General features: G+C 43.8%; 2 protein-coding genes across 66 annotated transcripts in view; one reads left to right on the forward strand and one right to left on the reverse strand.

The window, feature by feature from the left end:
* Window positions 1–24,426, forward strand: part of PRPF18 (pre-mRNA processing factor 18) — a 68,965-nt gene that overhangs the window by 43,295 nt on the left and 1,244 nt on the right. For 14 of the 62 annotated variants that reach the window (NM_001395885.1, NM_001395876.1, NM_001395883.1 and 11 more), the window contains one exon: window positions 1–600. In NM_001395885.1, the coding sequence (NP_001382814.1) occupies window positions 1–81 (81 nt within the window). In that variant the 3' untranslated portion in view covers window positions 82–600. Of the gene's footprint in view, window positions 24,169–24,426 lie in introns of those variants that run through there. The other 48 variants (XM_047425923.1, XM_047425966.1, XM_047425965.1 and 45 more) reach the window with 45 other exon arrangements.
* The window catches only part of FRMD4A (FERM domain containing 4A), a 687,219-nt gene continuing 676,239 nt past the window's right edge, over window positions 13,447–24,426 (reverse strand). For all 4 annotated transcript variants that reach the window (NM_018027.5, NM_001318336.2, NM_001318337.2 and 1 more), the window contains 3 exons: window positions 24,157–24,253; window positions 21,644–21,715; window positions 13,447–16,776 (listed from right to left, as the gene is read on the reverse strand). In NM_018027.5, coding sequence (NP_060497.3) covers window positions 21,646–21,715; window positions 24,157–24,253 — 167 coding nt within the window. In that variant the 3' untranslated portion in view covers window positions 13,447–16,776; window positions 21,644–21,645. The remainder of the gene's footprint in view (window positions 16,777–21,643; window positions 21,716–24,156; window positions 24,254–24,426) is intronic.

The raw sequence follows: 24,426 nt of genomic DNA on the forward strand, positions 1-24,426 counted from the left end.
GGATTGAAGAGGTTAATGACCATTTGCCAGAAACACTTTCCTACAGACCCATCCAAATGTGTGGAGTACAATGCACTGTGAGATCTGTGTATGGTGTGTTAATAACAATAAGAAACTTAGGGAAGCAGGCTGTGGACTTCTGGAATTACCAACAGGAATGAGGAAAGAAGAAAACTGGAGTTTCCAGTCTCTGAGTTCTACCTGATGTAACTCTTGATTGGTTTTAAGAACTTTGTTGGCCTTCATTTCATATCTGACTGCAAGCTGATTTTTCTTTCTTGCTTTCATTTTAATTAGTCCAAAATTAAGTTTTAAAGATTTTTCCTCACAATTTAAATCCATAGACAACAGAAGGGGGTTTAAAATGACCTTTTTTTCAGTTGACCCGAAAGTTGTGGTTAGATGATTAAAAAGAAACATTTGAGGATGGACTTAATTATTTCAGTAAAATATTATAATTTGCCTATTGTCTTTTATGTAATATTTATATAAAATATTTTTATATATTTCAAAAACATGGGACCATTGAATGAAACTTTATAGTCCTTAAATGTTGCTGAACTTTTGCTGTCTTGCAATAGAATTTGAATGTAAATATTATTACTGGTATAACTCAAATGTTATTTTTCTTGCATTTCAAAGCTTGCTTTTATCTTCCAAGAAGTGTAAATTTTAGTATTTGTCATCTCTCAGGACAGATACAATTAATAGGAAATAGAAGTTTGAAGAAACAGAGATGGCACATCATAGCAAACTAAGTTCAAAACAGAATAACCCCAGTGCATCAAGGTTAAGGTGGGACAGTGGTTTGTGATGCCAGGGAGAGTGGGGAAATTGTGATGATGCTGGTAGACCTGGGCAGACTGTGTTCCCAGCCACACCCGCCAACAGAGGAGGAAGGTGCTGGTACTGATGTCCCCACCCGAGAGTCTGTCCTGGCCTTGGTTTTCCACAGTGAGGGCTCGTTCTAATGTTGCACAATGTCATACTCAGATATCACTGTGACCTGTTACTATGCTTTAGAACCCGAGAGGCCTCTGTTCACATGGCAGCATGTGTGAGTGGATGCTCCCGGAGCAGGTGGAGTGGTGGCGCTGGATAGCGGTAAGAGCGGGGGCTCCAAAGGCAGAACTTCCAGCTTCACATCTCAGCTCTGCACCTGCTCGCTGTATGACTTTAGCAAGCAACTGGATCTTTCTAAGCGTCAGCTTCGTTGTCTTAAATGGTAGTTGGTAATAATAGTCCATGCTTCGTAGCATCACTTTTGTGTTCAAGCAGAATGCTGAGCACACTGGCAAATAATAAGAGCTCGTAAATATTAGTTGTTGTGTCACTGTTGTCATTAGAGGGAAGCCAGAGTCCCTTTCAGGAGCCCTGTGTTTAGGGGCAGTGTGTCCTCACAAAACAATAACAGTAATAATGATGGTGTTAGCAGCAACAGCAGTAATCATGGAAACGTTGATTAAGCATTTACTGTATCTGAACCCTGCGGCTGTTCCTGCTTTCAGCCACTTCTGCATTGAGAAGGGCCGGGGATGTGGTGGAAGCTAGATGTCACCAAGTAGGGGGATGTAGATTCACAGCGGTCTATTCTGGTTCCTCTTGGGAGGTTCAAACCTTGGGGAGGTTCAAAAGCCAGTTTTGGCCACTTGTGCTCTTCTGCTGTGCCTAGACAGGATCGTTTCTGATGGTTATATGCATGGTGGTGGCTGAGGTCCGCTGTCTGGAATTGAATTGGGGTTCCTTGCCTCCCACTCCCTCATTTGGAAACCTTTTCTTGTTATTAAATCAGTTAGAGGGGGCCAGGCGCGGTGGCTCACGCCTGTAATCCCAGCACTTTGGGAGGCCGAGGTGGGCAGATCACGAGGTCAGGAGGTAGAGACCATTCTGGCTAACACTGTGAAACCCTGTCTCTACTAAAAATACAAAAAATTAGCCGGGCATGGTGGCGGGTGCCTGTAGTCCCAGCTACTCGGGAGGCTGAGGCAGGAGAATGGCGTGAACCCAGGAGGCAGAGCTTGCAGTGAGCCGAGATCGTGCCACTGCACTCCAGCCTGGGCAACAGAGTGAGACTCTGTCCCCTCCCCCCCGCAAAAAAAAATCAGTTAGAGCTTAGTGTAACTTACCAGCGCAAGTGAGAGACAGACTTTCGTAAGATATGACAGCAATCTAGATTTTTTATATAGGACCTATTTATAAATATTGTTGAATGAGTACTCTCCGAGTTACTTTTTCTGTATTCACCATCAGGTCACACAGTAGAGTAGTTCATTAATTTCTTGTTGTCTTCTGTTTTGCAGTTAGTTAATGTTCCATATAAAGAAACTGTCATGTGACACCAGTACCTCCTAAAATTGGTCAGTGTGGTAGATGGTTTAGAGAAAAAAGGAACCTGTTCCACAGGGCTGTGACCATTCGAGGGAAGCACATTCAAAGATGTAGATCCCCTCAGAGAAGTTTTCCATTTCCCTGAAGTTAAAGATCTTCAAATGACTGCAAATAACATGAGGATATATAGAAAAATGCCCTTCCCCAATTTCCAAATCGTGAAAATTTGGCTCAGCAGGTAAGTATTTCTGTTTGTAGTTGTTTATAAAACAGTGAAGACATACCTTTTAAAATCAATCACAGTCCTTAGATAAATTCCTCCCATTCTTCCTCCCCAGACTCCTATCCATTAAGAGTTGTGTCTCTGAATTCAAATTTCATAAAACACTGAGTTCCCTTCAGAAGTAAATAGTGCATTTCCTAGGAGTGTCATTGCCAACTGCAAAGACAGAGCAGTATTTTTCAGTGTTGCAGCATAGAGCCTGCAACAATCTGGAGGTTGTGGCTGTGATTTCAGTCTTTGGGGGACAATTAGGAAAGTAAAGCTAAGGCCAAAGATAATTGACATGTGGAAAGAGACAAAGGACAGTCCGAATCTCGTAGGAGGAAGGGAGCGGTCCTGAGAGACCAGAGCTAGGCAGGCAGCTGTCGCTAAGAATGGAACTTAGTGATCTGCTGTGGGCCCAGAGCGCTCAGTGAGAACTCAGAGGACTAGGAAACAGGCTTGATAGCAGTATGACTTTTAATGCTAAGCTCTGCCTTCTGGTGATATCCTGACCTACTCCAGCACTTCAGAGCACTCTAGGGTTTGATCTCAGTAAATAACTTGGAAATGCAACCACCTTTTTGTTGGAAAGAAAGTAATAATGTATCCGGAAAGAAAGCAGGTTGGAAAACACCAGTGTTTCCAAATCTTTGATAGATTTGAATTTGGGGATTCATATCATTGGCTGCTTTTCAGCCACATGTGCTCACCTTTGTACCCCCGCCTACCCTGCCCCACCCCATGAGGTTAATGCTTCACACAGAAGGATGGTAGAACGAAGTGGGGCAGTTTCAATGAAAGGGAGCATTAAGCTGAGCTCTGCCTCTTTCCTTTGTCTGCATGTCTGGTAAACACAACTTAATGGATTGTGCCTCCTCCTTCCCCCAGTATACTCCCATGAAGCCCCTAAAGAATAAGTTTATCCCATAGCAATCTATGGTATGGTGTCATATTGGGAGTCTTGAGCTGAAAAGTACTTTCTCACGGTATATTGACGCAAGAGCTTCCAGCTGTCCAGAGCGCAAGAGCCAGCGCCAGTCCCCAGAGGGTTGCTATGGGAACACTGTTATGGCAACTGGTTTTCATCACAGACTCTGCAGTTCCATTGGCTGAACTATAACCACACGCTAGTCCTTTAATGGTTAACAGTAACTTTAAAATCATTTGAAATTTAAAAATAATTTCTGGTGGTGTGGAATAGCTAGGGAGGGCAGTGTGGCCAGCCGCGCAGCTATGGTGTGAGCTGACCCCATTCAGAATATTGAAAAACATGCTCATTTAAAAAAAGAATGTATTTTTACGTTGATCAGAACAATTTATCATGAAAGCATTGATTATTTATTTTTCCCCCATTGTAAACTTTATACAACTTGCTTAAATGAATCCTTGTGTTGCCTCTGCTGGTCACTCTCACTAGGCCACTTCCTTCTGTTGAGTCTCTTCTTCCCTCTCTGTAAGCACCAACTTCCTCAACTTTTTCTCACAGTGTTCAAGCTTAACACATAATTTTACCAATGAGAGCAGCTGAGAAGTTTCGAGCTGCCTTTTGGTGATCTCAGACTCTTTCACTGAGCTTCAGGCCGGGACAGTCAAGAGTCACTCCTGCAATCCGCTGTCCTGGCCTTCCTTAACTCACAGTTTTACAACTTGCCAAAACTAAATTGCCTTTGCGGTCAACTGCTTTTCCTTTCAGACTTAGGAGATGTTAGGAACCATGAGCGTTGCAGTCTGTGCAGTCTGCGCCTGCCTTTCTAAGTTTGGCCATCCTGGGAAGTAGAAGTGTAAAAGCTGTAGAATTTGAAACTTTTGGACCACAACTCAAAACAAGTGTATGGAGACCCAGTATTACATGTACACAGGCACGTCTACCTGAAACAAAGTCACTGGCCGTACCATGTGCAAGGCACATTCTTATGTTTTCTAATCTGTTGTGTTTCTTTTTAAAAATATGCTGGTGGTTATCCTCAAAATTGGTTGACAACTCATTAATGTATGGTGGTCAGCAGTTTGAAAACCACTGATTTTTTTTTTGAATTTCAAACTTTTATGTTAATTTCAGGGGTATATGTGCAGGATGTGCAGGTTTGTTGCATAGGTGAACATGTGTCATGGTGGTTTGCTGCACACATCATCCTATCACCCGGATATTAAGCCCGGCATCCACTAGCTATTCTTCCTGATCCTCTCCCTCCTCCCACCCGCCATCCTCCAACAGGCCCCAGTGTGTGTTGTTACCCCTGTGTGTCCATGTGTTCTCATTGTTCAGCTCCTACTTACAAGTGAGAACGTGGTATTTGCTTTGCTGTTTCTGTGTAAGTTTGATAAGGATAATGGCCTCCAGCTCCATCCATGTCCCTGCAGAGGACATGATCTCATTCCTTTGTATGGCTGTGTGGTATTCCATAGTGTATATGTACCACATTTTCTTTATCCAGGCTATCATTGGTGGGCATTTGGGTTGATTCCATGTCTTTGCTATTGTGAATTGTGTCGCAGTGAACATACATGTGAGTGTGTCTTTATAATAGAATGATTTATATTCCTTTGGTTATATACCCAGGAATGGGATTGTTGGATTGAATGGTATTACTGTCTCTAGGTCTTTGAAAAATTGCCACACTGTCTTCAACAATGGTTGAACTAATTTACACTCCCACCAATAGTATAAAAGCGTTCCTTTTTTCTCTACAACCTCACCAGCATCTGTTATTTTTTAATTTTTTGATAATAGCCATTCTGACTGGTGTGGGATGGTAGCTTATTGAGGTTTTGATTTGCATTTCTCTAATGATCAGTGATGTTGAGCTTTTCTTCTTGTGTTTGTTGGCTGCATGTATGTCTTCTTTTGTGAAGTGTCTGTTCGTGTCCTTTGCCCACTTTTTAATGGAGTTGTTTGGAAAACCACCGATTAAAGCAATTATCAGTAGAATTAAAGAAGGAAATGACCTGTTAGATGAATCTAGGACAAAAGGACTATAATTCTTTTTTGATTTTTTTTAATATGGAGATAACACTTGGCTCTCATTGTTAGTGTGAAATTTAGCAGATTATAGAACCTACAGTACTTCAAAATGCTAAATACTTCTGCCGTAATATGTAATTCTTAAGTTTAAAATGAGGAGACGTCCATAGAAGAACCGAGAACAGAAACTTGTAAGCCATCTGTTAGAAAATTGGCAGTATGTATAGCTGATCACCTTGGGCTGGTTGCACATTGTTGGATAAAGCAAGATTAAACAAGGTATTACAAAATAAATGGGAGGTCAGTTAAAGTACGAGATAGGTTTGGCTGGGTGTGGTGGCTCACGCCTGTAATGCCAGCACTCTGCGAAGCCAAGGCGGGCAGATCACTTGAGCTCAGGAGTTTGAGGCCAGCCTGGGCAACATGGTGAGACCTCATCTCTACAAAAAATACAAAAATTAGCCAGGTGTGGTGGCGCGCACGTGTAGTCCCAGCTACTTGGGTTGAGGTGGAAGGATTGTGTGAGCCCAGGAGGTCGAGGCTGTAGTGAGCAGTGATCACACTGCTGCGTTCCAGCCTGGGTGACAGAGTGAGACCGTGTCTCAAAAATAAGTAATAAATTAATTAAGTATAAGATAGGTTTGGGGCAAGAATAGTTGCAAGGAGTCTAGTGTTACGCGTCAAGTGTCTGTTGAGAGGACAGTGGCTTGGCCCTTTGAAAATTATTTCCTAAGACTCAGTGCTAAATTACATTTCTTTTAATGTAAATTTTCTTATTGGCAGTATAACATACATACAGAAAAATTACTAGAGTATCACATCATGATAGGTTTTTCACAAAGTAAACATTTCACACAGTAAACAAAGTAACTAGCGCCCCAATCAGAAAAGGTAATTGTTATTAACTCCCCAGAAATCTCTTCATGTCCTCTTCTAGTCATAGCCATGGTCCTAATTTCTAACATCATAATTTTTAAAAAATATCGGCGTGTAATTCACATACCATCAGTTGTACCCATTTAAAGTGTACAAAGGTTGTCAGCATATTCACAGTTACACAACCATCACCACAGTCTTAGAACACTTTCGTCATTCCAAAAAAGAACCCCGTTTGCCTGTGTTTAACAATTTGCCTGTTTATAAATGGAATCAAACAGTATGTGCTTGACTTCTTTGGCTCAGCTTAGGGGTTCTGATACTTACTCATCCCCAATGTGTGTAGTTGTGGTTTTTCAGTCTTGATGCTGTGTCTCACAATTTATTCTACTGATGATGGACATGTGAGTTGTTTCTGGTTTTTGCATGGATGTTTTATATGTGTTTCTTGGTGAATATACATCTCTCTATTTATATTCACAAGAATATATACCAAGGTATGAAATTTCTGGGACATAGGGTATGTATAAACTTGGCTATTAGAGTTATTGTCAAAGAGTTTTCCAAAGGAAAACCTTATACCAGTTAACACATTCCCACAGCAGGAGTTGAGAGTTCCAGTTACTCTGCCTCCTTGCCACACTTGATATATCCTCTGTCATTTTCATTTTAGCCCTTCTGGTAGTCATAATGGTATCACGTTGTGGCTTTAATTTGCATTTCTCTAATGGCTAATATAGTTGAGTACCTTTTTTCATATGTTTAATGGCCATTTGGATGTTATCTTTTGTGAAGCTCCTGTTCAATGCTTACTTTTGTCCATTTTTCCCCTACTGAATTGCCTGCTTTTTTCTGACTGATTTATAGTACTTTCTGTATTCTGGCTAGATATCTGTATTGCAAATAAGCCTCCCACTTGGTGGCCACCCTTTGTGCCAGGTTACCTTTTATGCATTGGAGAAATAATCTTATGACTGACTCAGATATTGACATAACCTTTGCCAACTATCTTTGCCCAATAGATTTTATAAAAATCAAATCATATGTCAAGCTTAAATAACAATTCTTCCTCTTGTTTAATGATGTCATCATAGTGGCATGTTTAAGAGTGTAAGATTTGTGAGAAGAGGAAATTATGTGAATGTTTGCACTTTTTTGTTAACTGTTGTATTGGATTATTTCATTTCAGATATGGCTGTTTTTGTTTTGCTTCTTTTGATGTGCAAGTTCATGTGCCATAAATGTGTGGTGTAGACACTACTAGTTACTTACGCAATGTTCATTCTCTCTCCTTCTCTACTAACAGAGCCCTAATTTGTTTAGAACTGTAATATGCACAGTTAAAACAACTTGTCCTCTCAGGACCTTTTGCAGTTAGGGTTGGTCGTATGACATGGTCCTGCGAAGAAGATACGGATAGAAGTCTGTGGGTGAGTGGGACTGCCTGGAAACCTGTTGCTTTACTAAGAGAAAGAGACAGACTTAGCTGACATACATACTTTGTCCTTTGCCTGTGATCATGATGCGTAGATGCTTGGTGGCCATCCTGCAATCTTGACAATGAAGATGTGCTAAAGATGGCAGAGCAGAAGATAAAGCTTGGCTTTTCTTTTTTTTTTTTTTTTTTTATGGCATCATGAAATCATTTTGTATAAAACATGAACTGCTTTTTTAAGGTTCTACAGAAAAACAGAAGAGATAGGAGATAGGGAGAAAGAGAAAGTTGTTGCGGGGGAGGGAGAGAGATTTATTATAAGGAATTGGTTGAAACAGTTATGGAGGCTAAGTCCAGTGATCTGTACCCCGCAAGCTGGAGACCCAGGAAAGTTGGTGGTGTAGCTCCCGTCTGAATCCAAAGGCCTGAGAACCAAGAGAGTCAATGGTGTAAATTCTAGTCTAAGTCCAAAGGCCTGAGAACCAGGAGAGCTGATGGTGTAATTCCAGTCTGCAGGTGGACTGGAGCGTAGAGAGAGCTAATTCTCCTTTACCCCATCTTTTTGATCTATTCAGGCCACCAGTGGATTGAATGATGCCCGTATGCACTGAGAAGGGCCATGTGTTTACTCGGTCTACCAATTCAAATGTTAATCTCATCCAAAAACACCCTCACAGATACCTTTGGAATGATGTTTAACCAAATATTTGGGTACCGTCTTCCCCAGTGAAGTTGACACAAAATTAACCATCACAGCTGCCTTCCTGTGGGCCTCATGTTATATGAGAACAGTATTGGGTAAGTTGGGTTTCCATTATATTCTGCTGAACTCAGTCCCCAAGCAATGTATGCATTACTCAAACTTCTTGACCTTCAAAATCATCAAGTGACTTGTGGCAAGTGTGCCATGGTGCTGAGGTCTTTGTTCATTTCGACTGGAATAAAATCGGACTTTGCCACATCCTCCTAAGATAAAATAGATGTGAGAGCATTTACTTGAAGTGGTTCTGTGGATGTTGGTACATTGTGATTTCAGTTACAGAAAAGCCACAGATGGAACTGATGTTAAAAGCACCTCAAGGACAACCAGGTACTGGAGCAGATGCCAAAAGGAGTTCTTCTGCCCTGTCATCAAGATTCTGAATCACTCAATTTATTGGACAAAAGCATTTAGCTCTGATTCCTCTTGTGTTCTCTCCAAATCTCCATCAGAGTAAGAAGAGACTTTGAGAGAATTAGTCTCTCTTCTGAGTATCTGTTATAGATGTGAAAGATACTTCAGAAAATACATGGCTCTGGTTTCATCATTTTGGGAAAAGCAGCTTGATATGCTTTGACTTGTTATTACTACAGTTCCGTCTGAGATGGCAACTCACGTTACACTAACGTGGGCCAAAAAAAAAAGTGCTTGTGTTTTTGTCCTTTATAGAGTTTTTTAAAAATTAAAAAGCTAAAAATTAGTTTGTCTTAAATATTATAGCATAGATTTTAGAGGTCTCTTTGAGATTTTAGAACCTGTTAGTTCATCCTTTGATTAGGAATTTCTAGCCAGGACTCAGGATAAAGGTCCAATTTCTGGTCAGTAGGGGCGCTGGTTGTGAGGCTGTTGTCTCAGCTCCAGACACATCTTCATACTCTGCTTTGTCATGAGACTCTGCAAACCACATCTTTCCTTTGCTGGAGAGCTTTTTGTTAGGGTATACCAGGATTGGACACGAGAGACTGGAACCTGGAGGCGGGAAGAAGGGAGCTCCCCCCTTCTATTTGCTTTCTGTTTCTAACAACGATGGCACAGCCGTGGTTTTCCAGAAGCTGAGCAGTGGCTGTTCACTCCTGAAGGAATAGTGGGTTCCAGGGTGCGGTTTTCCACACTTGTAGAACCAGCTTCATCTCTCCACTCAAAGATCACCGCACCGTCAGCCGGTGGCGCCTCTTCAGAGGTTTGAATCCGAGCTCTGTGGAGTCCCCACATTTCTGAGGTACCAGTTACCAGGAGAGTGGTGTCCACGCCTGAGAGGTTTCACTCCCAGCTCCTGGAAAAGCTTCCACATTTTAATGATCCCAGCCTTGCCTCTGGTTCCCAGCCCTAAGCGTGGCGGCTTCCTATTGCAGTTATCTCTGTGATACCTGAGAGTCCCCTTTTTGCCTCCTACCTCTTCACTATCTGTTGACAGTTGTTTGTTCAATCATCTCTCTTAGAATAATTGCTATGGTCTTGGTCCGAGATATAATAGGCAACCAGGTTTTCAGCTCCTGGAAAAGAGCCATGAGACCCAGGTCCTCTTCTACGCAATCCCAAGCTCAGGTGGATTTTTCACTAGCTTTCCTCAATACAACATAGGGATCCCTCCCTAGATGATGTGATTCACCCCCGTGGGGATAGCTGCGAGATTAGGGGAAACTGATGTTTTACCTACACCCTGGTCATGAAGACCTTGCTTTGCTCCCTCCTTCATTCCTACCCTGCTGTTCCTCAGTCTCCTCAAGACCTATGTCCAATCAGTCTGTTTTCTCCTACTTAATAGCACCTTCTCAGCTTCCCTTTTCTTTTTAGTCAGTCTGGATCCCATTACCATCATTTCAGTCACCTTCCAGTCCCTTTTACTCTCACATGTTTTTGTTGTCCTGCCACACCTGCTGACAACCCCAAGCCAGAGTCATTCCAACCTCTCTCCTCCCATGCTCTGACATGATAGTAGCTGCCCTGGAGGAAATTCACAATCTAAGCATCCAATGTCAGCTGGATCCTCCCTGCCATAGCTCTCCTGATGCCTCTGCTCTATCCTGATCCTACCCTGCTGCCTCCTTTTTATCTCACTTGGAGGGTGGCCTAACCTACCCTTCTCATACAGCTTGAATATGGAGGCAATCTTAAGGCCTCTTTCTACCTCCAAATCTACCAGCATCTTGTCTTACTTGATTTGGAGAAAAAGCTGTTCCTCTTTCTGTCATAGGCTAAATCTTCCACTATCCTGCTTTCTTATCTATTATGTTATCTAATTTACTTTCTATTGGCCCCCTCTACTTCCAGTGTAATTAAGTCTTATAAGGGCAGGGAATTTGCATCTGTTTTGTTTGTGCAGATGTGAGGTGTGAGGAAAGGAAAGCTGATGAAAAAGAAAGCTTGGATGATTCCCAGATTTTTGGCCTGAACACTGGAAGGCCTGGAGTTGCCTGTAACTGAGCTGGGGAGGGCCATTCATTGGTGAGGTTTGGAGGGGACAGTCAAGAGTTTAGTTCAGGACATGTTAGCACATTAGACATCCACGTGGGGATATTGGGTAGGCAGTGGAATGTACAACTTTTAGAGAGGAGGTCTAGGATATAGGGATAAATATCAGTCTCATCAGCATAAAGATGGCATTTAAAGCCATGAGAGTAGATGGGAACTTTAAGGAATAATTGTCAATAATAAAGGGAAGGAGTCTAAGGACTGAGCCCGGGGACACCAATGCCAAGAAGCCAGGGAAGAAAAACTACCAAGGAGATTGAAAAGGAGAGCCCTGGACTACGATACCAGGTGGAAAACCAGGACAATGTGGCATCCTGACATCCCAGTGAAGAAAGTGTTTCAATGAAGTGTCCCACTTCTTCACACTCCAAAGTGTGGCTGGCAAGTGATATTAGATGAGAACAGAGAATTAACCATTGGATTTGGCATTGCAGGGAGTCATCGTTGACCTTGGCAAGAGTGGGTTTAGTAGAGTGGGGAGGGGTGAAAGCATAATTGGAGTGGGTTTGAGAGAAAATGGATAAATGAAGGAGAAAACAATTAGCTCGTGGGGATAAAAATTTATGAAGATAGAAATGGGTTTCTGATTTAAAAAATCAATCTTGGTGCCATTATAATCCTATGGGCTCTTGAAATTACTCTCCACACTGTGTTATTCTTCTGAATGCAGTGCAGGTTCTTCAGCTTTGCTGGAGTACGTATCGACTTTGCTGGGAGCATGACTTTGTGCAAGGCATAAAGGTTATACCTCTGCAGCTCTTCTACTTTGTCTCTGCCATCTCTGACCACTCAACTCAGGTAACCAATGAGAGATGCCCTGTTGATCTCTTATCCTTGGGAATAATTTTAATCTCTTCCTCCTGTTTAATGCTAGTGTCCTCCTTTCCCCATAAATGTGGTTGTGTGCCTGTTTGTCTCGTCCATGAGAGTAAGCTTTTAAGAACTGGAACTCTGCACCAAATGTGCAGTGAAATGACTTTGTTGGAGACCCATTGTCTGCCTGCTGGCCCTCATCAGTGGTGACTTCATATTCCTCTTTTTAGAGAGTTTTACATAGAGCCTTTTTGAAATGGTATCCTGGGAAAATAAAGAGCTGGCTGTTTGTAATACTTTCTACCAGGAGTGGGGTGTTCACTTTGTGTTCTCTAATAATTAAATGTTCGGAATCACCTTTTTTGGCACAATGAAAGGGCAGATAAACAGATTGATAGATGAAGAGGTGAAAAGTAGGAAGCAGTGGGAAAGAAATGGGAAGAGGATCTTCCTATCTACCAGTTGCTTTCATGTGGTAGAGCTTAATGAGAAGATGATACGCTAATTTCCTGAGCTGTGACATATTTACATGTAGAAGACTTACGTGAGGGCCCTTTGTCTTTTTTCAAGTGTAGATGATTTTGAGATGGCCTGGTTGCTTCCCCAAGGAGAGGAGGCTTCAGGCTCTCCCACGGGCAGTTTTTAGGGTGTAGGAAGTAGAGAACACTCTCTTGATGGGCTCACTTCCAGATGTGATTCTCAGTGGATTGTTTTCCTTTTCGGCAGCATCAACTAGCTCTAGTGGCCAAGGCTTCTGTAAGGCTTCCCATCCAGGAGTTTTTCATGCAGGGATGCTATTGGAGGCCAGACTTCCAGTTTTGCTAGGAGGAGATGCCTATTAAGTTAGGGGGCCAGGGATTCGATTGCAGCAGTCACTACTCAAGTCAGTCAGTCACCATTTCATCTGTAAGTCAGGGACTCTTTGTACTTGCAGTCCCCATAGGCGCTTGGCTCTCGTGATGTGATTTAGAGAGTCAGTGGCAGGGTTTGAGCTGCAGTGTGAGCACAGAGGATTAACGGTAGTCACAGAGAGCCTGAGCAGCCTGTGTGAGTGACCCTCTGCATCCTACATGGAATGAGGGACAACATGGAGAGACTAAAGACGATCCCTCAAAGCCTAGCTTCCTTCATTGCTCCTGCCGTGGACTGTCTTGCAGGGACAGTACACATGCTGGCACATATTACACACAGGGAGCCGTTTGCAGTGAATAGTGATGCAAAGGCTGAGATAGTATCCTCATAAAGATTGACCTCTAATCTCAAGTCCTTTTTTGTAGTAGCAGGAATACATAATTTAGACAATATTATCTTGCACAGTTAACAGAAGGAAACTAGAATAAGAGGGAATTCACCTCAGCTGAACAAACCAAGCTTCTCTGTATCATCTAGCAAGCTCATAAAAATGCCATCTATAGATTGACTTTAATAAAGGAGCCCACTGAGGACACAAGCACCTGAATTACAGATTCCCAGTGCACACGCAAGCATTTATCGCTGACAGACAAAGGAACAAAATCTCCAGGAGGCAGCTGGGATCTTTTCATTTTGAAAATGCTTTAATAAGTGTTGACAACACTGTTTTGCAAAATGTAAAGGTACTATACAAATTCTTAATACAAAAAGAATAAATTAAAAGCAGATTTCTTTTTTTAATTCTGCAACTTTGTCTACAACGTACATCTTTTTCATTGATTACAGTTGAACAGAATCCAGTAAAATCATTTTACATGCTCTACAGTCAGTTTCAGGAGCAACCTAATCTTTTTTCCCCCATTATTAAACTAGAGTCCATTTTACACAACTTGTAATAAACTATTGACATTAATGTATATGTAAAACTTTACACCTAGTTAACTAAGCAGTAACTGGTCATCTGATAGCACCTGGATGGGGTTTGCTATATTTAGAACTAAACTAATACTGAATGAAAACAAATTGGAATTTTAACAGTTTCAACACTCACCTGCATATAATAAAATAAAAAATCAACCTGGCTCACAACATAGTCTGATGTATGTGTTTTCACCAGTCTTCTGGCTGAAACAGGCAATTTCTTTTACGCATCCGAAGAATCCAATAGGGGCTTTATATCAGACCAAGGACTTCGTATTTCACCTTATTTTGTTTTAAAGAAATAGGGATAAAGAGTTTGCAAGTGCTTGTGTACAATAACTACATCATTTCCCACCACACTGATCATTAATCATGTCAGTCTCAAAGGACTAACGTTTTATGTACATTTTGTATTAACTGAACTCAGCTAAACAGTAAAACCTGTTTTACTTAATCTCTGTCTTGACTACCAGACTATCATGATGTTTGTTGGAACTGTAATTCCTGCTCTCCATTTCTCTCTGTCCCCCAAGTTGAAAATATAACCCAAATCTTTAGAATTTTTGCCTCTCATTCCTTGCAACTCCAGTGGGCTAGAATCTTGATCCAGTTTTCTCCAGACTAGATTTCAAGCTACTATGCATGATGTAGAACATGTAACCATGTAACCTCATCAGCTACCTTTTCCCTTTTGACTTTTCCTGTTGCACACAGTTCAGTCTGACTATCCATGAATCTTCTTTGGGAGAAAGAAAAATGGCCCAATGTATAATGTTTCTGAATGGGGAAGGGAGAAAAAAAAAAAATCACTGTTCTTTGTAGCTCTAACCATGAAAGTAAAAGCAACAAAAATATCCCCCAGTGAATCCCTAGAATCATTTAATAATGTAACCGGTATCTCTTTATCCTGCAGGTGTACACTTAAAGCGTTCTGGGAATATGAATCCCTTCTGCACCCTGGAATCACCAGTCCAGCCATGCATGGAGCTGGGGAAAGCAGGCCCTGAATTGTCTAGAGAGACTTGGTGGAGGAGGCCACGGCCCGCCTTGTCCCTGCCGGGTCCCGGCCAGGTGTGTGTGTGCCCCAGCTCGACTCTCGGTGGTCTCCAGGCTGCAGCAGAAGGAATACCTTGGTATTTGTTTCATTTTAGTGTCCATCCTTACCCTTCTGGTCTGGTAGAGCCTATGGTTATTCTTGGATTCCACATACATGAAAAGCGAAGATTTTTCTTTGTTTTTATGCTTAAGCTAACTTCAGTTCTGCTTTCCCACAAAACTACCCCCACCCTGGCTCCTGTCCCTGGCTGTCAATGCCTTTCCAATAGGAAGTCATTAGAGTGAGAAAAAAATTCCACCCCCACCCCATCCCCCCACCACTTGCGCCAAAAGCACAGCATACCACCTCTGCGGAAACCTTTTTGTGCCATCTTGAATAACCCAACTAAAGTCGTGCACTTGTTACTATAAAAGTATTTTTGAGGCCTTTGAAGATTGATGGCTTTCCAGTTGTGTTTGAAGCATAGCTCAAAACATGTAAACGTGCAGCTCCCACACATTAATTTTTTTCTTCTTTCCTCCTCTTTTGGTATCTGCACACAAATGTGGTGCATGACAGTAACTGATGATGTAGACACATGGGCCCTTTGGGAGCTGATATTTTTTTCAACCCTGCTCTGCCTGTTGGCTAGTAGACACACGAGTCAAATCTTTCTACCTAAGGGCATAGTTGGGTTCTTGGAATAAGTGACACATAGGAGAAGTCGGATCTGAGCTCTTTTGTCACACAAGTGCTAACGAACAGAAAATGAGCCACGACAGTTAAACACTGAATGGATCGCAATGTGCTTTTCCCTTGGTTTCCCATAAAAACGAAAATGAAACACCTTGTGCAAAAAAATAGGATACGCTTTTACTGGTTGGTTTAATGAGAGAGAACCACTTTTGGCCATTATCACCTTACGTTACTACAAATCCTGAAAGGAAAGCAGCTTTGAGTCTTGGGCTCGGCTGAACCCCCTGCATGGACCGGGGCTAACAGTACCCTCTACGACTCCCACAGGTCTCTCTTTGTGTCCAGATGGATGGCGACTGTGAGTCAGCAACGCCAGCCAAGACTTCCTCGCCTTTACCGTGGCATTGGGGCAGTTTTTCAGGCTCTCTACGGAGAGAGAAGTGGGCCAGTAAGGGAGAGGGCTAGAGAGAGGACACCAGTTTACATAGGGTTGACTTTCACTTGTGTGTAGTAGCAGTTCAGAATTTAAAAGAAATTTCCTTGCAGAAAGAATGTCTTCCTCTTGGCCCCTCTTAATTTTTTATGTTTTTATTTATTTTTAATCTTTGGCAGCATAGAACTGATTGTGGTCCTCCGATGCATTTCTGGTGTCGAGAACTTCCTTTCTCAACCTCCCCTTCCCCCATAGCCATCCCCACAAGCTGTCCCATCAAGGAATATTTCAGGTGTAAACTGAATATGCCACGAGGCCTCCTCTTCATGAAGTGCTTGGTTGGCCTACGTATGGGTGGCAGGCTGGACACAGCTGAATCGTCTTTCTGGGTCACCCTGTAACTCAAGTCCCCTTTCCCGTTCTCTCCCAACGCTACTTATCCGCAGGAATTGGATGCCGGCTGGCCCCCCTGATGGTTCCTGGCCTAGGGGCTGTCATGGCAGAGGGAAGCCACCAAGGTGCCATTGAGGATTGGTGTCTGGCTCTCTATGGGCAAGAGCGCCAGGGGACACACAGTGGGACCGGAACCTTCCAGAATGTCTCCTCAGTCAGGTTTTCAAGGGGGAGGGAATGCGGAGACAGGAGAAAAAAAGTGCTGAGGGCCAAAGCTGGTGCAGGGTGACGGTGCGTCTGGGTAAGGCAAATGAGAGGCAGTGAGGTGATCTCAGAATGGCGTTGAGGCGGTCAGATTAGGCCGGGCTGGCTCACACGAGGGTCCCGGGCTTGGCTTTTTCCTGCCCGTACCACTGGACATCAGCTAGTTCTGGATAGAGGGAGGAATCCAGGAAACAGCTATCATTGTAGCTCCTGTGGGAGGCCCAAGAAAGGAGATGAGACAGTTAGTTAGTGGAGGAGGATGGGTTCAGCCAGGCCTGCACTGAGAAGGATATGTTCACCTTGACAGGGCCCTGTGCTAATCACGAGTCTTTCCTGTTCGGAGCAGTGAGGCCTGAGACCCTCAACAGTGCTGTGTGTACAGAAGGCCCCCAGAATCCACACAAAGGGGCCGCCTGAAACCTAGAGCATTTGTGAAGGAGGAAAATGGAAGGTAACTTACTCAGTGCGGTGGTTCTTCAGCGTGGCTGCATCCGGGGAGCACCTGGGAACTCCCAGAAATACTCATGCCTGGGCCCAATTGATTTGGGGTGTGTTTGAGCGCTGAGAACTGTCAAAGCTCCCCACCAGGTGATTCTCAGATGCAGCCAAAGCCAGAACCTCTGGGCTTTCCTCAGGGGACTTTTCCCACACGACAGCTGCCCGGGTTGTCCTCCGTGAGACCCCAGGGCTAACAGATGTCACTAGGAAATTTTTATTCTGTCCTGGAAGAACATTCAAAATGTGAGTTTTCCCTATAGTGAAACTGCGGTGGTATTTTGAATTGTGTTTTAAAAGTTTAAAAAAAATCAATGATGACTTTGCTTTATTCTAAATAACATGCATTGTTTTGTGATTATAAAAGTGTGTTCATTTAAAATAGGAAAGTCTATAGAAGAAAATAAAAGGCTTTTTTTTTTTTTTTTAAGTATTTTAGGGAGGTATCACCATTTAGGTTGGGTAGAAGTAATTCTTAAATCTTAAGAAGCAATCATAGATATGTGGAAGCCAATAGTCATTACTAGGGATCATGATTCGGAAAAACAGCCTCTCTTCAATGATCCTGAATGAGCCCTTTGAATTCCTCTCCTGCAACTGATCTCCCCATGGGGAGTGGTGAGGGATGGGTGACAGGAAGGGACCCTAACCCAAAGTAGTTCAGAGCGGGTGAGTTTTAGGAGCATTTCGGTACCAAACACAGCTTCACGATTGAGAATCATCAGTCATCCCCAGCTTTCTATTTCATTTGCTAACCTCTCTAGGAACAACTGGATGTTGTAAATGTTTCTCATCTGGCCTTAAAATCCATGAAAGCTGGAAAATCACAAGGCATCTGTGCATATACTGGTGGATTTTAATGAGAGTCCTGTGTTTGGAGCACCAGAAATAAACCAGCTTCAGAAGCAAAGTAAGAAAAGGCCCTTGATTATGACACTGGCCATGGGTATTACTATATGTAGGTGGTATGTGGATGATTCTGGGACACCTGTCCTGCAAACTTTGTCTCCACCCTAAGCTGACTTTTGACATTGTGCCTGACTGAAAAACTTCTAATGGGAGAGGTGGTTGGGCCTTGCAGGGGTCCTATGTTTTTCTTAGGGGGACAGTCTCTCCCTAACTCCACGTGGTCCTGGTGGTGCTCTCCACCATGGCGCCATCCTCACTCCCGTGGGGGCCAGGGGACAAGGAACCCAACGGGGCCGGGCCAATGAGAGTCCCCCGATCAAAATCCCTGGTTCAAAGGTGGCCACGTGCCTGAGCAGCTTTGAAACCACAAGGATGTCATTTCCTCCTGAGAACTAGGTTAACAGGAGGAGGAAGCAGAGCTAGAGATGGAAGGAGACCCAGCCAGCCCGGGCTCCAGTGACATCGGCTGGTACACGCTTTTGTTTGCTTACGCTTGTTGAACTGAGTTTTTCATATGTAACTAACGAATACTGGCACATGTAAGTAGTTTCTTAAACTGTTGATGAAATTTTTGTTTCTAACACAAACATGATCTGGGTCTGTTTGGGATAAAACTTCCCTAAGGGGTTTCATGAGATCTTAGGAACACTTAGCCAGTGTTTCCCAAAGTAGTCCTGTGAGTTGCTCTGAGGGGAAAAAAAGCTTCCATGGATAAATAAATTTGAGGATTCTGCCTTTCAGAGGCCTGAAATGTAAATGTATATGAAACATATATTAAAGGTTCTGAGAAGTCCTGGATTAGTTTGCCACAGAACTTCTGGAACAGTATCACCTATTAACATCCACAGAACACACTTTGAAAAATACTCTTAAATGGGCTAATATTATGAAATGTAGTTGACTCTCTTGTATGTTGGATCCTAAACAGTTTCTGGTTGAAACTATTAAAGTTGAGTCATAATTGTGACAACATAATCTGCTTCAGAGGGACTAAAAGTGCACTATGTATTGATCATAAAGGCTCAAGAAAGACCATTGAGTTCAAAGCAGTGATGTTTGGATCAGGCAGTAGATGAGGTTAAGGGTTCCTGTGGTGGTTTATTTGGTATGTGAAGAGCCTAACTGTTGGCTGGCCCATGGTGTTCTCCTGTGGTTCATTATGGAGGCTTCTGGGTCACAGAACCCACATATGAGAGGGCATCGGGAGGATCTGGATGATGGGGTGGGAGATGCTGGATTGGTGGTTTGGTTCTCAGGTGGCTCCTAGAGGAGCCGCAGTATGGAAACCACTGGCCTGCTCCTGCCTCTGAGAAAATGAAGCTGGAGGAAAAGATGTAAAGATGTATTTTTTCCAAACTTGCGATGTTTTATACAGAATCTTTCTTAGTGCTTCCACATAGTTATTGAAGTACGTAAGGTATTTTTAAAGCTATAAATGTTGCTTCATGTATTGGTCTTTTATTCTCAAGTCTGGGGAAGAGACCCTTGTTCTGGCTGCTCAGCTAAGCCTTTGCCTTTCAGTACAAATTCAATTTTCCGGTAGTAGTCAAGGAATGCCATGTGCTACGAAAGAGACCCTTAGGAAGCATTTATTCTTCACAAATAATACAAATGGGGCCACTAAATAGTTGCCCTAGTAAAAACCTAAAAACCTAAGTCAGTCATTCACTGGAACATGAGCTGGGGCAGGATGAAGATCTAGGTGTGCTCTCTCAACTGTGACCCAGAAGAGCAGCTTAGCCCTGGGCAGTCTGGGTCACAGCAAGTGGTGACTTCAGAATCTGTGGGGGCTTTCCACTGCAAGAATGCCCTTTCCCAGGGCTATGCTCAGAGATGTGTGGCCTGCAAAGGGTACTGGCTAAGCCAGGGCCGTCTGATACCAGACAGATGGCAAATTCACCCACATCTCACAGGGTTTTGTGGTTTATAACTGCTTGGCATAGGGAGGTGGGGCTGCTGGGAGGGAGGAATTTCAAACTGAATTATTTTTTTAAACGTATAACTAACTTACAGAACCAACTGGTGGCACATACTGGGGTTGTTGAACAGTCCCACAGTTGGTCACAAGGCCAGAGGATAGGGGATGAGGCCCTCTAGAGGCATCCTGTCTTACCTGGTCTGGGAAGGTGCTGTTGCTCAGTATAATGTATGTGTGTCCCTGCATGTGCACATGTATGCATGAGCATGAACTCGTGTATGTATTCGTGTATGTATGTAGGTATTTCAAGCAGTGCCTACATTCCCACCGCAGCTCTTTCAAACCTGGTTAATTCTACTTCTGGCTGTCAGCCCTATCTCCATCACCTTTAGCAGATGATCGCCCTCCCATACCGGGGGAGAAAAAGGCCATTCTTCCTACTTCAAAAATACTGCTCTCATGACATCACCCTGGCACTGGGGCTGGGGGAGGGGGTCTACCTTCCTTCCAAAGCCTAAGTCCCTGTCCTAATTGCCCATCTGTCAACTTTGCAATATTGTCCTAACTTACTTTTCAAAAGTCCAGTTTTTTCTCTACAGGAAACAAGACTCTCTACTGTTAACCACCCCTCACCCTTATCTGTGCATCCATGTTTTTGCACTTGGGATGGTCTCTGTCTCCACCTGTCTAAGCCCCCTCCTCCCACGGCAGGCTTCTGAGCCAGGCTCACATAACATCTCCGTGAACTCGAAAGTGACCCCCTCATTTCTGAATCCTCTCAGCATTGCATTTTGTTTCTAAGTCTTAGAGCACTTAATACATAAGTGTAGCAGTTTCTCATGCTCCTTGTATATCTTCTGATAGGCAATTTGATTTCAAGCCCTTGTGTCCCAGTTAGACTGTAAGGGTCCTGGGGCTAGGAACCAGACCAGGTGGTACTGTTATCTGCCCCTGTGCTTTGCAGATTTCGACGTGAATCTTGTTAAATGCACATTAGGTTCAGTAGGCCAGGGTGGTGCCCGGGAGACTAGCTTTCTAACGAGCTCCCAGGTGATGGTGGTAGTGATAAAAATGTTGGCTTATGGACATTTGGAAAAGCAGTGCTCATAGCTTTTGGTACTCAGCACAGCTGTTACTCAAGAATGCTGGGGGTGCTTCTGGAGCCACTGAGTCGGCCCTTGGTGCTTTGAAACTTACATTGCAGTGATGCTGTTCTTTTCAGGGACACTGATTACTCACAGTAAAATGTCTACAAATCTTTGAATGTAGATAGAACATGGTGAGTCTAAAATATACTTTGGGGCCAGGCGCACAGATCACTTAAAGCTTAAAGTCAGGAGTTTGAGACTATCCTGGCCAACATGGCAAAACCCCGTGTCTACTAAAAATACAAAAATTAGCCACGCATGCACCTGTAGCTACTAGGGAGCCAGGAGAATCGCTTGAACCTGGGAGGCAGAGGTTGCAGTGAGCCGAGATCATGCCACTGCACTCCAGCCTGGGCAACAGAACAAGACTCTGTCTCAAAACAAAACATACTCTGGGGGTCTTTTCTGGGAAGCAGTGTTAGGAATATCATAATTTTGATGTAAGAACCTTCAGCTAAAAACATAGTTCCAGTTCCCCATGTATCTAGAAATAAGGCATAAATACAGCATTCAGATGTATCCTTGTGGAAATGATGACATGGACAAAAGCAACACATGTGGGACCACAGACTCATGGGCAGTAGGAACAAAACTCCCCTTACGGTACCTCTATTCATCAGTACTTTGGTGAGGTGGAGACTCAGACCCATCCAGAATGGGTGAGTTTTCTGTTGCTTCTCTGAACAAAGGAAAGCAGGAGGAGGAAGAGAAGAGAGGTCATGTTACAGAGAGACACTGACACAGACACAGACACGATTAGTAGCTTATTAATATATCCGAAAGGCTTGCTGATTAGACACCTGAGTTAGCAACAGATCATACAAGTCATGCAGTACTTTCAGTCCCCATAATTGAGTCAAAATACCTAGTTTGTTAGGAGGGACGGGCCCTCTTTTACCCATGGCCTCATTTTGTATCACATCATAGCAAACAGTTTATGCCAAGAACCAAAATTGCTGTTTTTCAAATTTGGCTTGAGTCCTCACTAGTTGTAGGTGGTGAAATAGGCAGGTTTCAAGACCATCTTAAGTGCATAGGACCCTGAGGAGGGCTTGTACATTTCGGAGCCTGTTGACAGCCAAATAATACAATCAATCATATATTTGGATCAGGTGAGACTGGGCATGATTCAGAAAAGTTGGAAGATCTAGAGAGGGATCTTGCAATCTGAAGTTTCTTGTTTAGTCACTGGAGGTATGTATTACATATATGAAAGATGTGTCATTCTTTTATGAGTTAATCTTAGACCCCAAACCTTGCAGAGGCTGCCTGGCCAAACAGGTGAGAGCTGGGGTGTGGGTGGGTGAGTGTTAATGATCTAAAGGACAAAGGGGCAGCTACTGTCCAACAGACAGCCCAAGAAGTAGGAGCAGACACAGGAACACCGAGCTGGGGCTCCAGTTTCTCTTATTTTAAAAGGAATCAGAGGCAGCAGGGGATCGTTCAGTGGTTGTCAAAACTTGAGTGTGGGTCAGCATCACCTGGAGGGCTTATCAGAATGCAGCCTGCTGGGCTCACCCCCAGAGTTTTGGATTTTTTTTGTGTTACAGGTAAGCCCGAGAATTTGCATTTCTGACAAGATCCCAGGTGAGGCTCACTCGTGCTGCTGGCTTTGGGATCACACTTAACTACCGGTATAGTGGGGAAAGACAGGGTTTGGGGTCACAGAGGGCAGAGCTGGAATTCCAGCTCCCTCCAGCTGTCAGACTTTGGGCCAGGCACTTAGTTCCTCTGAGCCTCATCTATGAAACGAAAACATCTGGGTATTTCCCCCGCAAGGGGATGATGAGGATTGTATGAGCTCATGTGTGTTAGAAGCTGCTCGCAGCCTTTGAGTACACAGCAAGCACTCAGTAAGTGTTAGGACCCTTTCTTGCCAAAAATGAAGGCTCCAGAAAACCTGGTGTAAAAAAATTACCACAGATAAACCTGCAGGAACAAAAATGCCGACCAGGTGCCTGTAATCCTAGCACTTTGGGAAGCTGAGGTGGGTGGATCACCTGAGGTCAGGAGTTCGAGACCAGCCTGGCCAACGTGGTGAAACCCTGTCTCTACTAGAGATTAGCCAGGTGTAGTGATGCACACTAGTAATCCCGGCTACTAGGAAGGCTGAGGCAGGAGAATCACTTGAACCATGGAGGTTGCAGTGAGCTGATATCGCACCACTGCAGTCTGGGCAACAGAGTGAGACTCCGTCTCAAAAAAAGGCCAAGTATGAGAGCCTGAAAGGCAGACAATACAGCCAATTCTGGAATTGTGCTTTTCTCATGATTCAACTCACAGCCAGTTGTCAGGTTTTCCCAGACATCCCCCTGATGCTCCACCAAACCAGGAACCAGACAAACCGAGGAAGGGGCCTCCTTAACTCCTCTAACCAACAGATGAGATGTTGACAGAACCTAACATCTACTTAGAGATGATGTCTCAGGGGCAACAGAAGAGGCAGGTGCTGTAGGGCCAGGCGGGTTACCTGTGTCTGCCAGACCCTCCAGTAGTTCAGAATAGCCTCACTGGCGCCGAGATGATAATGCTGTATGCAAACATGTCAAGCTATCAAAGGGAGCTGCCTTTCGGTTTCATTAATTTTGTTGTGTGCAGCTTCCACTGAAGGCTTCAGGGCACCTGATCTCTTTTGTGTGTTGAGAAAGAGCAAGTGCTTGGCCAGGACACAGCCCTTTTTCTTGCACCCTGAGACATCCTAAGACACTGGCTGTTTCACCTGCCCCAGTGTATTTGCTGTCTTCATCAGCTCTCTTTCTCCCCCTGACATTCTTGCCTGGCATTTTGAGTCAGCCTGAGTATAATCCAAACCGAAATGAAATGCTGTCTGGAAATCTTACCAAAGAAGCACAGTCCCACTTCGTGCTTCCATCTCCCCACATCCCAAGGACCACCGCCTACTTTAAGAGAACACAGACAATTCACCTCTATAAAGGCACAGCCAGGAAAAGGAGTAGGCAGAGGTGACAGCAGATCATGGGGCTTCTCTTGAAAGGAAGACACCTCCCAGTGATGAACCCTCATCATCCATTTACTGACATATCCTTATGTCACCAGGATCTGAACGTCTATGACACTCTTTCGAGCTGACACAGTGAAGAACATAGAAGGAGAACTCACCCAGTCTGCCAGGTTAGGATGTGGTGGGGGCTGCTTGGGGGGGTGGCTCCAATTTCACTTGACGGTGTCGAGCTTCTCTGGCTTTGAGGTAAGGCAGCTACATGCAGGTGGTGCAAGAAAGGCAGAGAGCAGACAGGGATCAGACACAGGTGAAAGAGCTTGCGACTTGTTGGCTGACACCAACCCAGTGGCCAGAGGTCACCATTTCCAGGGATGCTGGGAAGGACCCCAGAGCAGGGTCTCAGCATCCCTATGGCATGGTCACAGTGG

Source organism: Homo sapiens, chromosome 10 (assembly GCF_000001405.40).
Source record: "Homo sapiens chromosome 10, GRCh38.p14 Primary Assembly".
NCBI lineage: Eukaryota > Metazoa > Chordata > Mammalia > Primates > Hominidae > Homo > Homo sapiens.